We start from the raw sequence: 14,087 nt of genomic DNA on the forward strand, positions 1-14,087 counted from the left end.
CTGAAACAAAGGGCAGGGAAATTTTTAAGAGCTGGGGTGGGGCTTGTAGGCCATCTGTGTTTCTAGTTTGCTTCACTCCAAGGGAAAGTAAACTTTCTCCTGTCTTCATGACAGCAGGTAGTTTTACAACTCGGAGCACATTAGGCACCCACCTCCTATGGAGACTGGGAGACAGAGCACCATCTTCCTTGATAATTGCATCTCAAAGGGACAGCTCCCAGGTCCTTGAAAAAGACAGTTCTGGGTTTAGAACTGGCAAGAGGACTTTTGAAAAGATTCACATCTCAAAAGGGAAGAGAAATAACTTACAATTATGACTTCTCTAAAGTAAATGCTCTCAGTAAAGGAAGGTCGGGGCAAGGGTCAGGAAGAAGTCTTCTGAAGTCGTGACCAGCTGAGGGACTGTGAGGGCCACCTTGGTGGGAAGTTTTACTTCTGAACCTCCAGGTTGGTCCTCGACACCCCTAATTTCAGTGTTGCAGACACCAGATGCGAGACAATAGGAAGAGCTGACTGGGTGGTTCAGGACCTGCCACTGGGGACAGTTTCTTCGTCCACCTTTGGTCTTGGGTCCATGCTTCCATGTCCTTCTTGCTCACGGCTGTGACAGGCCACCTGCACTGCTTATGAGGTGATACTCTCCCAGCTGTGCACCAGTCTCTTCCCTGATGCTGGGTCTGGGATTCTGCGAGCCACGTTTCTACATTTCTGCTTTGTCAGTGAGTTCCCAGCGAATGGGGAAGTATCTTCCAGTGGGAGGCCTGGAGGGAGACCGCAGTCCTGAGGAGGAGGGGGGGAGGGGGAGGAGGGGGTCGGGGGAGGGGGAAGAGGAGGGCGGGGGAGGAGGAGGAGGGGGAGGAGGAGGAGTGGGAAGAGGAGGGGGAGGAGGAGGGGGAGGAGGAGGGGGAGGAGGAGGAGGAAGGGCAGCACTGGCTGCGCTCTTCCTGGGGGCTTTCTGTCTGGCTCCCACTCCTGTGAGCATCCACCATCAACACTTTCTCACCCTGGCCACACCAGGAGAACAGATTCCCTCCCTCATCCCCAGTTCAGCAGAAACAGGAAATATCAGTGCAAGGACTGTGCTGTTATCTCGAAAATAGATTTTTGTTGTTGCTGTTGTTACATTAACCTAAAATCTCATCATGTAGAACAGAGCAGTTTCTTTGAGATTCTGCTCAGGTTTCCCTTGAGATTCTGCCTCTTTTACAGATTGCATAAAAAACATCCAGCCATTTGAAAGGGTAAATTTGCCAACTGGAGGGAAGATGATATCTAGTGTGTCCAGGGCACCGCTCCTTGTGACCTGTCAGTCAAGAAATTGTGTGTGTTTTGACACTTCTAACCTCAGCCTTATATTTTGTTTATTAAACTAAATTCATCATAGCATCTTTTTATACCAAAAAGATTTAAAACTAAGCATGAAAGTGTTGGAAACCGTTTTTCACTTAGTCAAGCTCAATACATGCCAATGTCAGCCCCTAAAGAGGAGAGCATTTGCCGTCAGCAGACAAACACTTGGGTAGAATACCAAGCGACTGCAAGTAGATTCTTCTAATTTATAGATGGTTGGTAGACAATTTCTGACAGTCCCCCCACCTCTAAATATATTACTGTTTGTCTATACCTGGAGACTATTCTGTTCTGATTAGTTGGGGGACAACTTAGCCCTCTTGCATCTAAATTCTTGGAAAACCAAATGCGAGTTGAAATTTTAAAAACTGGTTTAAATAAGACATATCCTTCCTGTCACATCAAATTGTGTGAGCTCAAATATATTTCTGTGATTCACTTATGTTTTCTGTCTATCAAATCAAACTCCCAACTGCTTCATTATCAAGCGTTTTTGACCTCTTCAGGAAATGGTTCCATATAACCCTCTAGATTTTTTTTAATGTGAGATGTGGTCGTAGATTTCTGACATTTAATAAGATGGATATGAGTTTGAAAAGGAAGGAAGCTAAAAATGACAAATGCTGTTTTCTAGTGCTGGGACTGAATCATTATTGACGATCATTCCCTTGCATAACATTTCTAAAATGGTACCAAACCAAGAGGCACATATATCAAATGTTAGGGCTAAAATGGATGTTAAAGACTAATCAGTGGCTTTGTAAATGATAAAGGTCATTTTGGATGAAATGATAATTTCGTGTGTGGGCGTTGCAGTGTGGGTTAGAATTATAGAGCTGTTGGCTGCAGCGGCTCTGCAATGTGACGGAAGGAGCAACAAGCTCGAAGGGAGACACCTTGGGCTTGAGTCCTGGCTCTGCCATTGGTAGCTGCGGGAGCCCAGGCAGATATTTAACTTGGCCTCTTGTGCTTCATCTGTTAAATGAGGGTAATGACATCTACTGGATTTGTTATGAGCATGACCAATAAGAGATTCAAAGCACCCGGTACAATTGGTGTCTGGACTATGCAAGTGCTCTAGAAATGGAATTAGGTAAAGTGAAGGAATCACTACTAAGAAATAGCTATGAGGCTGCAAAAAAAATACAGAAAATGGTTTCAAGCATATATATAAAGAATCAACTAATAAAAGAGGAGTTCGAAGAATGATTGTATCAGGAGACTTAAGCAAAAGAAAAATAATTGAAATAAATTTCATCTTTATGGATACCAAGTAAAAGTTATAGATTTCTTACTATTTAATAAAAGTGTAATATGACATAGCCAAAGAGACTAAAAAATCCTCAAATTTCAAACTAAAGAGTAGTTTTGAGTCTTTATGTTAAAGCAATTGAAAATCCAAATTAAGGACAAGCAACGGTTAAGGGAATGTGAAAAATAAACCATGTACTAGACTCAAAATGAGTTTCCACAGGAAAGATTTGAGTCTCAGCCTCCTAAGAAAAAGAATAGGAGGCCAGGCGCGGTGGCTCACTCCGGTAATCCCAGCACTTTGGGAGGCCGAGGCGGGTAGATCACGAGGTTGGGAGTTCGAGACCAGCCTGGCCAACATAGTGGAACCCCCGTCTCTACTAAAAATACAAAAAAATTAGCCAGGCATGGTGGCGTGTGCCTGTAATCCCAGCTACTCTTGAGGCTGAGGCAGGAGAATTGCTTGAACCCAGAAGGTGGAGGTTGCAGTGAGCTGAGATCGCACCATTGCACTCCAGCCTGGGAAACAAGAGTGAAACTCCGTCTCAAAAAAAAAAGAATAGGAATACGGAAATGAAAGTCCTCTACAGACATCTATTAGCCTCTGCTTGCCTTTTCTTCCCAAAGTCATGGGGTCTGAATGAGGGCAGTAATTTTAATTGTCTTAGCCTATATAGGCAGTAATTTTAATTGTCTTACCCTATATGGCACTATTCTTCTCTTAAAGAACGTGAACTGTAGCACAGAGCAGCTCAATCTTTCAAGCTTTTTGGTTAACCTAATTATTCTAAACCTACTCCTATAGTTGTTGAAAGGACTAAGATTTTATCTGAGTGACATTCTCTGTAGTGTTCCAATGGGACTGACACTTAAGGGTTTTAGTTAAAGGGACAGATTTGACAAAATGGACCTTGTGAAACATATACATCTATAACGCCATTGTTACTTTTAAAAACATTTTGATATATAGAATTTCATTTTATTCTTACATCCTACCCATTTTGTAGATGAGGGATATAAAAAGGAAAGGACAGAGAGGTTGGTTCTGTGATTTGAGTTTCTGCCAGTTTTCTCCACACCGATGAGCTATTTTCTTAACTTCTATATGACCAAGAATTCCCACTCCTAGGTATGTGACCAAATTTACTGAAAATATTTATTCAGACAACACTTGTATGTGAATGTTCATAGCAGAACTATTCACAATGGCCAAAAAAGTGGAAATAACCCAATATCCATCAATAGAGGAGTAAATCTGATCTTAGCCAAGGTCCTTATTTGCTTTCTTTTCTCCAGAGACCACTGTCTTCCTTTTTCTCTCAATGCCCAATGCCTGGAAAAGGTTGTGTCCTGTGTGTTATTCATTCATTACCTGCCCCAGTGTTAACTAAGATACCAGCAGAAAAAGGCTGCAAGTGGTTATAACTCCAAGATATGTTTGCATTTTTGTATGAACTTGAACTTCCTAGAGTTCCTAGGGCAGGTGTTGACATCTCAACCTCAAGTGTTCTTTAGTGTTTCTTATTCATGATGGCCACTTGAGTTCACGTCTTTATCTCCCTTCTCCATCAAAATCACTTTAAAGTTACCATAAAGAAGTACAAAAATAACTTCTAATGAGAGCCTTATCAGAAGATCAGAAATTTTGGGAAATTCCTTAAAGATGGGAAGAGGATGGGATCCTACTTGTAGGTAAACAAAGCCAAGGAAGCTCCAGTATGAGCAAGCTGGAGAAAGCCACAGGGAAGGAGGGAGCTGGTCTCGCTGGGAGGACTCTGGGCACGTTACAAGCATGGAATCAACAGGTCTATAGAGGTGAGTGGGGAAGGGGAAATTCACACTGAATAGTTAGACTTCCTCCTGCAGAGCAGCTGTGCCACTGACTTACCCCAAACCCATTGAGACCTGGTAGTAAGCACTTAGACCCAGGCACAAACCAGTGACACCATTTCTGAAGACGTGGGACCTCTTCCTAGAGTTCCTAGGATGGGTGTTGGCATCTCAATGTAAAGTGTCCTTATTTTGCCATTGACAGTGAGATTGTCCTAATTGCCTGGTGCCCTAAAGTGGAACCTGCCATATAACACACCTCGCCGGTAACACACAAAGCTCAGTCACTCTCATTAAGGCAAGGATCAGTAGCAGATGGAATCCGCTCCGGTTACCTATATGAACTGTCTTAGTCATTTAGTGTTGCTATAAAGGAACATCTGAGGCTGGGTAATTTATAAGGAAAAGAGGTTTATTTGGCTCATGGTTCTGCAGGCTGTACAAGAAGCATGGCACCAGCTTCTGCTTCAGGTGAGGGCCTCAGGAAGCTCACAATCACAGTAGAAGATGAAGAGGAAGCAGCATGTACAGAGATCACATGGTGAGAGAGGACGCAGAGGGGAAGGTGCCAGGCTCTTTTTAACAACAAGCTCTTGCAAGAACTAATGAGTGAGAACCCACTAATTACTTGGAAAGCACCAAGACATTGATGAGTGATCCACCCTCATGACCCAAACACCTGTTATTAAGACCCACGACCAACACTGAGAGTCAAAATTTTAATGTGAGGTTTTGGTGGAGGACAAACATTCAAACTGTAGCACTAACTGATCAGATCAGTAGTTAATACATATGAACAGACAATCTTCATTTCTTTTGTGATGTTTATTTTACTCAGAGAACAATTAACTACGGGCAAAAATTAATCTTTTGGAGGACACTATCAACAATATGTTTTTAAATGTTTTCTATTGCCTGAATTTGCTTTGAGAAAATATTGCATTTGGCACAAAAGACTCCCTATGAAAAAGGAAAAATGTCTTGTCTTGTATAAATATGATTGCCAAAATGAGCAATTCAGAGCAAGAGGTGAAAGAAAATGTGATGAACAATTTTCAGAGCATAGAGCAGAAAAGGCTGAGAGATGGAGGATATGATAGCAAAGTCAAGGTCCTGGTAAACTAATCCATGGGATCAATCATATAATGGGAGTTCAAGAAAGAGAGAAGAGAATGAATATAGGAGAGGAAATGTAAAACAGTAAAACTTCCCTACATTGAGAAAAGGTGAAAGGCTTCTATTAAAAGGACCCAGGATGCTGACAATGTGAATGGAAAGGAATCTGATAGCTAGATATATCATAATTAAAATGTAAGAAACCAGGCACAAATAAAACATCCTAAAAGCTCCAGAGAGAATCAAATTAAGCACACACACCATTTTCTGCAAAGAATAAGAATATGATTATCAGAACTGTTGTGAAGAAATGAGACAAGTACTTTTTTTTTTTTTTTTTTTTTGAGACGGAGTCTTGCTCTCTTACCCAGGCTGGAGTGCACACTTTTTTTTGATACAATACAACTTTATTTACAACAGAGGGCCACATTTGGCCCATAGGCTATTGGTTTCTGGCCTCTGCTCTTGGCTGTGAACATTCTTTTTAAAAAAATTTTAGTTGACTCATAATAATTGTACTGATTTATGAGATACAGAGTGATATTTTGATACATGTATATAGTGTGTAATGATCTAATTAAGGTAGTTAGCATACCCTTCACCTTGAACACTTACCATTTCTTTGTGTTGTGAACATTCAAAATCCTCTCTTCTAGCTTTTTGGAAATATCCATTAAATTATTATTAATCATATTCCCCATACAGTGCTACAGAACACTAGAATTTATGCCTCACGTCTAGCTGTAACTTGAGACAAATACTTTTAAACCTAGGGGAAATGATTTAAAATACAGAATTCTTTACCAGTCAAAACAGCCAGTGATAAGGCAAAATAAAGCATTTCCCATATGTAAAGATTCGGAAAAGTTATTTCTCACTTTGTCCTCTGGGAAACAAACCAACCGACCAAGAGTGTGCTCATGCAAAATGCCAAGTGATACAACAGTAAATCTAACTGAGGTCTGCAGAGGGAGAGAGGTCCCAGGAACAGGGGAGTGAAGTGGACCTAGAAGATGCCTAGTCCAGATTAGAGCAGGAAGACAAGGGATTTGGAGGGAAAAGGTAAAAGAGTGAAGCAAAGAGTTTGGTTAGGAAAGCGGTGATCTATGGAATGGTGATGTCATATCTTCTTTTGTACCAAAAATCCTAGAAAAAAAATAACAGCTTTCTAAGGAAGTTAGAGCCTAGGTTAAAGCAAACTAAAACATAGCAAGATTTTGAGCACGTTGTGGGTGTAAGAAAATAAAATCTCTTTTATCTGTGTTTTTGGAACAATTTATTTTGTATGACACTTTTAATAGCACAGATTACATTTCCTCCTTGATAAGGCCAGTTTAACTACTTGATTCTATGGTAGCCAGTCTTTGCACTATCAATATTATAAATAATATAATCAATATTATAAATAATGCTGTGTTGATTTTTCATAATTGGAAACAATTTACAGAGAAAGCCTGAGAGATTTAATATTTACACATTATTTTGTATCTCCAGTTGTTAATCTTTACACTAAATATAGTTATAACACTGTATGTTTTTGGGAAGTAAAATGAATGAAGGGAGCTGGAAGAGCCTGTACAGGCACTGAGTTTCTTATTTTATATAACAGAGAATCAAGAGACAATCAAATTGAGGGCCCCAAAATAGAAGTTTAAGTGTTTTTTAAAGCTCTATAAATAATCAGTGATAGAATTGAAACTAATAAGATGTAAAAATTAGAAGGAACAGGAAGGGGAAAATGAGGAGTAGTGGGGAGTAAACAGATGTTACTAAAATGCATAAATCATAAGTATATGATGGCCACATATTGAGAGGCTGTAGACAAAGTGGTTCCAGACAGACTCTGGAGCCAGACTTCCTGCGTTCGAGTCCTACCCTACCCAATGATTATTGTGCCACCTTACGGGGTTTTTGTGAGGACTAATATACTACTGTATATAAATGCATGTGTTATGTAATACACATAAAATATGTAATAAATGTTCACTATTATTAGGTAGCATTGTAAAGATTATGCCAGAGGCAGTCTAATGGTACATAATCTTTGTAATATCAAATAGTAATTATTTGAGCAATTACTTTTAAAATATGGAAGGCAGATGGGAAAGTGGGGTCTATGGCAGAGGATATTGATCCTTTAACTTTTCTCTCCTGTTTGAATTTTCATTATATGCATGTATTATTGTAACGAAAATATTTCTTTGGGTCTTAAGGACATTCAGCTATAATATTGTGGGTATTGCAAAAGTCAGTATTCACTGATACTGGATATTTAGAAGCAGAAAGAGATTACTCATCTTGCAAGAAATAACTGGCAAGGCAGTAGAGGGCCTGTGAAAAAGAAGCATTTTATTTCTCTGAGACCAGACAAATGACAAGACAAAGAGAGAGGTCAAGATGGCAGAGTGTCTGGCTTCTTTACTCATGAATGTGAGGCATTTTCTCCGTCATGCACTGAACGTGGAGAGAATGGCCCTGGGCAGAAATCAAAACACGTGGCAGTTCCGGTAGCTCCAGGCTTTGGCAGTCTGGATGATGACACATCCTTTGAAACACCCGTAACCATACACTTGGCTTGACCTGAGAGTTGCAGGACTGGGGCTTGTTTGAGAATCAAATGTATGAGATACCCTGAGAACTACCCGAAATACTTGTGCAGGTTGACCAGAGAGCTCCGACATTGCTGAGCTCTCACATAATCTAAGTAGTGCCATGGACCGTGGGTGTAAATGCTCATATGATCTTCAGTGGACCTGCAGGTTCGTGAGGCCAGGGAAAATGCATGTTCCTTTCCTAACACCATCACTGTCTCCTCTTGGATTATTCCTGAGGGCGATTAATCTGTCTTTCTCTCTCCAGACTCATCCAACAGATCCTGTCCTCAGAATTGGAGCGAGAGCATCTTCCTAAAATGCACCTCTGAAAATGCACCTCTGCATCATTTTCAGAGGTGCATTTTTCAGAAGTGCATTTCAGAGGTGCATATATATGTATTAGAAGATGCTATGTTTTCAGTATTTGCAGGAAAATTCCTTTAATGAAAAAGACTGATCTTAGTTGAGAATATGTCTTGATAAGTCCACTGTGTGGAAGCAGTACCTTTGTGTGCGTGTGTGTGTGCGTGTGTCTGTGTGTTTGTGTGTGTGTGAGTGTATGTGTATGTGAGTGTGTGTATGTGTGAGAGTGTGTGAGTGTAGAAGTGTGTGCATGTTTGTGCGTGTGTGTGTGTGTATAAGAGAAGGAATGAATGAAGAAGGAGTAGGGAAAGTGAGCATGGGGTGGGAGAGTGGAACTACCACTCTTTAGGTTTCACAGTAGGAGAAATTTTTGTTTTCTCCAAAATTTTCTCAGTATTTGTTGAAAAATGATAAAAATCAATATTTTGATCACAAGATTCTTGCTGACTGGCTTTTCGATAAATGAAATATAATTGTCAGTCACCCCTTGTTCTTCCTTATAAGGCTGGTCCTTCTGGGAAGACAGGTGGTCACATTCCTGCACTCACAGCGCCATTCATGAGATTAGTAGCAACACTGTTTCCTCTGCAAATGCCCCTGGTGCTTCCCACGGAGCCCCTGTTGACTTGGGCAGAGATTCTCTAGTAGGGGAAGTGAGGGGAGGGGAAGTCAAACATACCATCGCAGCAGATGGGCACCTTTGTGTCCAGACCTGGTGTCCTGTAAGGTTGATGTTGAGGACACTGAGTTGCACCCCACCTGTACAAGGTGCTTCAGAGATTTTCTTCTATCCCATTTCACTTACATCACCCTGGCTCCGGAAGGCATGCTAATCTGAGTGTGGTGACCTCAGTTACACTTTTGCCCTCTAACAGCTTAGTTGAGAAACTAATTAGTTTTTCAGGTTAGTGAACTTGCAGCTTGCTGACTGTCATGAAATATGACACAGAATAAGTAAATGGAGAGGGAAGAGGATGAAATGTGAGCTGCAACTTTCCTTACAGCGGCTTTAGTAAGGGGACCAGAAGTATTGCAATGATGTGGAAATGTGTAGTTACCAAGTCCTTCTGTCTTCTATTTATCCTGAATCACCTGATTTTAACCCCACTGACAAATAGCCCAGGGCCTCTAAGATTGAAACCAGGAGTCTTCAATTCAATCCAGTTCAATTCAATTCAATTCAGCACAATCTTAGAACAAACAAAATCTGTTTTTGACCTCCAGCTCAAAGCCAGTCAGTGAGAAACTCAGGGACCTCTGGTGGGTTACTATGCATGGTGTCTGCATGTGGCAATAACTGGGTAACCTAGAGCACAGGTCTTGGGTCTGAGACCTCAGCAACCTGGCTGGTGTGGAGTAGAATGGGGATGGGGAGACCAACCCAGTTGCAAGTCTAATCCCATTATGCACAGTTAGGCAATCTGGTGAACAGCATTTGATGTATTGGCAAACTGAGCTATGATCCAGGTAGGTGCTAATATCAGAGACAGCCAAATCCACAGGCAGAATATGGCAACAGGGAGAACCTCAGCATCGGGGGGAACCTGAGCAGGAGGGAGATCCTGGGCAGGGGGAGAACCCGAGCAGGAGGGGAACCCAAGCAGTGGGGACAGCCTGAGCAGCAGGGAGAAACCAGGCAGCGGGGAGAACCCAGGAAGCGGGGAGAACCCAGGAAGTGGGGAGAACCCAGGAAGTGGGGAGAACCCAGGAAGCGGGGAGAACCGGGGCAGTGGGGAGAACCGGGGCATGGGGGAGAACCTGGGCAGTGGGGAGAACTCAGGCAGGGGGTAGAACATGGGCAAGGGGGTAGAACACAGGCAGCGGAGAGAAGCTGAAGTCAGGTGGCCAGGGCTCGATGCTGCCAGGTGGTCAGCAGGCTCCTGGCACAGTCCTGGTCTGGCCCTCGAGCTGTGAGAGCACTGTCTTTTGAAAAGGCTTATACACTGGACTGGGCATGGTGGCTCACGTCTGTAATCCCAGCACTTTGGGATGCCGAGGCAGGTGGATCACCTGAGGTCAGGAGTTCAAGACCAGCCTGGCCAACATGGTGAAAACCTGTCTCTACTAAAAACACAAAAAACCAGCTGGGTGTGGTGGCACACACCTGTAGTCCCAGCTACTCGGGAGGCTGAGGCAGGAGAACCACTTGAACCCGGGAGGTAGTGGTTGCAATGATCTGAGATCGTGCCATTGCACTCCAGCCTGGCAACAGAGCAAGACTCCAACTCAAAAAAACAAAACAAAACAAACAAAAAAGCAAAGGCTTATACTCTGCTGCCAGTCATTGTGGGTTGTCTTTGCAGTAGACAGAAACAAAAGTACCAACCCCCAAACCTTTGTTTTTGTAGAGGAGATCTATTAGACTTATTGAAATAATATATGGTAGATATAAATGTTTATAATGTGGTAGTATGGACATTTTTGGATGTCCCCCTCCCTTGTCTTTGAGGCATTGGAAAAATGGAATGCAAACATTTCCTTTTGCCTCATGAGGTGGCCTGAACCCTGAGGCCTTTCTGATTTGGAGAAAAAATAGCCTAGATTTTTTTTTTCTAGTTCCAGGGTTGATGAGCCATCAGAGTCTACTGTGAAAGAATAGGCATAGAGAGGCTAGGGTTTAATGGATACAAATATGCTTGGAAAAGCAGGAGATAGAGAGAGCTGGAGTCCTGAGACAAGGGGAAAGGCCGGCACTGTGACTGGACTCTGCCTTCCGAGAAGAGGAGGAGGAGGAAACACCAAAGGTGCGGGCTTGCCATTCTTGTCACAGACTTCTGTGCCCAGACATGACACAGGAGCAGGTCCATGTTAGGGGAACTTGAGCCATCATTAAGGGGCAAGAAAAGTCAGCCACCGGCTGCCATTATAATGACTATTTTGTGCCGGCAGGAGCAGTGGACATCTCCGGAGGGAGCCACCTGAACAGATGCTGGCTGTCTCGTGCCGAGGCCCCGCGCCAGATCACAGAACTGTGAAGTGATCCTGGGCAGAGGTGAACAAGAATGGCTGACGTTGACTTGTGTTTCATACCATTTCAGAAAGATGGGAGCTCATCATTGAAATTAAGTTAAATTGTAGAAAATAAGGAATTTTGGAACTTCTTAGACAAGATGCAATAATTATACTGTTTCCTGGTGGAGGTCTTGCCCTTCTCCTCCCTTCCTTTATTTTTATTGCTGTAGCGTGGATTTGGACCTATTTTTCTTTTAGTCTGTGGTCACAGAGGGTTCAGAAGTGTAGCTGTGCTTGTGAAGACACATGCATTCCAGACTTCCTAATTAGATGCTTTCTTGTCACACTTTAAAACCCCTGCACTATTGGGAAGTGCCTGCCGAAAGGTCAGCCCATCACTCCTTGGTTACCTTCCGCAGTGACATGATATTTCTTTCACTGGCAACGAATGAGAAAGGGGTGGTGCAGTCAGATATTAAGGGAACCAGAGCTATCTTCAAGGAGCAGGAAAAGTCAGCCATTGGCTGCCGTTATAGCTTGGGAAATGACTGGACGAGGAAAGTCTATTTCAAACAGATGATTACAAAACCTCACTAAAGCCAGTGCACGCTGGTGTGCGTCACAAATTGGCCTAGGAACAGCACTGGGGCATATACATTGTGGAAGTCAAGAAGTGAAGATTACACGTGATCTGATTTCCCATAAAAAGACTCTCTTAGTTCTACACATTTAGAACCAAGATCTGTTTTCCTCACCTGCTCTTTTGCCAGATGCAAAGACCCCTCGGCCACTCCCCAGCCTCTGTGTGTGTGTGTTTAGCATTTGTGAACCTCTCTGACCTCTTATCTTTTCAGGCTAATGAATTGAATACCTCTTTGAGGGCAGGATAGAGAAGAAGGCTGAATTGGGGAGCCTTGTAAACTGAAGGGAGACAGCTTGGTCTGGAAGGAAAACGGGTATTAAAATGTCAACCAGTATCCAGTGTCCAATGGGCAGGGGCTGGGCCTTGCCTGCTTTTGTGTCATGCATGGGTAAAGTCGTATCTAAATATTTAATCTCTTTTGGCTTTTACTCCTTCCCCCTCCAATCCCACTTCCTTTAATTTAATTTTTATTTATTTAGTTTTTAGCTTTTAGGATCCCAGGGTAAATAAGTTCCATACCTTGGGAAATTGCATAACAGAAAGAACACACTTAGCGTGATCACTGTTTCATTGTGTTCAGTTGTATTTAGGACCAAGACATCTGACAGCATCACTGGGCCTTCTTTCAGAGAACAATTGGCACACTTGAATGCAACGGAGTGGATAGGTGACAGCTCCTTCCCACGGCAGCTGTGGCAGCTCCAGCTTTCTGTCTAATCAAATTAGTTCCTCTCTGCACTCAAACAAGTCAGAAGCAATCATCTCCGAATCCACGCGCAGTGAGCAAATGCAAACACTGTCATGGTGTGACGCTAGTAGGACAAGAGGTGAAGGCTGCTAATAAATACAGACATACCATGTGGCTATAATAAGCCACTTAGAAAAATAGTGGATATAGATTTTCTGTCTTTTACTTAATCTATTTTCTTTCCCACAAGGGAGAGACCAGGCAGCTATCGAGGGAGGATAAATGCACTTGCGTTGTGGACGCTCTGCTTCTCTGCTATTCCCATTGTTTTCCCGGTGGAGATGGCACCAGTCTCTAGCCATTACTGGGCCTATTGTCTCCCCATAGGTTTCCTAGAGTCACTAGCTCTGGATAGCCCATTTAGCAGTATCACCAATGCCACTTGGCTTCTGTATGATGAGAGCAGGGAGTCAGCTACGATAAAGGAAGCCTGTTTTGAGAGACTTCTCCTAATATTAACAAGTACAAAGGAATAATGGATTTGAGAAGCAGAAACATGACCCATTGGAATTTGACCTTGAATGCAATTTAGGGTTAGTTGGAACTAGTGTTATTTAAAAATAAACTATTCTTTCTCCAAGGTAGTATGAGAAAAGTTAGGTTGGAGTTTGGAAATAAAGCAAGGCATTTTTTTAATTAAAAAAAGCTTTATTGAGATATAAGTCATATATCATACAATTTGCCCTTTTAAATCAACATTCAATGGTTTTTAGTGTGTTCAGAGTTGTACAATCATTACCATAAGCAATTTTAGACCATTTTCATCACCCAAAACAGTAATTCCATAACCATTAGTATTATTCCCCATTTCTCTTCTCCTACCCTACCTATCCCACTACTGGGTATATATCCAAAGAAAAGGAAATCAGTATGTTAAAGAGATGTTTGCACTCCTGTGTTTATTGTAGTACTATTCACCATAGCCAAGAAATGGGGTCAACATACGCGTCCATCAGTGGATGGGTGAATAAAGAAAATGTGGTGGCGGGGTTCGGTGGCTCACGCCGGTAATCCCAGCACTTTGGGGGGCCAAGGCAGGCAGATCATGAGGTCAAGAGATCGAGACTATCCTGGCCAACATGGTAAAACCCAGTCTCTACTAAAAATACAAAAATTAGCTGGGCTTGGTGGCACATGCCTGTAGTCCCAGCTACTCGGGAGGGTGAGGCAGGAGAATTGCTTGAACCCAGGAGGCAGAGGTTGCAGTGAGCCGAGATTGGGCCATTGCACTCCAGCCTGG

General features: G+C 42.5%; 1 long non-coding RNA gene across 1 annotated transcript in view; it reads left to right on the plus strand.

Annotated features, from left to right (window-relative positions):
* LOC102723686 (uncharacterized) overlaps window positions 1–13,710 on the plus strand; it is a 121,255-nt gene extending 107,545 nt beyond the window's left edge. Inside the window, exon 10 of the long non-coding RNA XR_007060599.1 lies at window positions 11,394–13,710. This is a non-coding gene — a long non-coding RNA (uncharacterized LOC102723686). The remainder of the gene's footprint in view (window positions 1–11,393) is intronic.
* The last annotated feature ends 377 nt before the right edge of the window (window positions 13,711–14,087 follow it).

The sequence above is a fragment of the Homo sapiens genome, chromosome 7, assembly GCF_000001405.40.
Source record: "Homo sapiens chromosome 7, GRCh38.p14 Primary Assembly".
Lineage (NCBI taxonomy): Eukaryota > Metazoa > Chordata > Mammalia > Primates > Hominidae > Homo > Homo sapiens.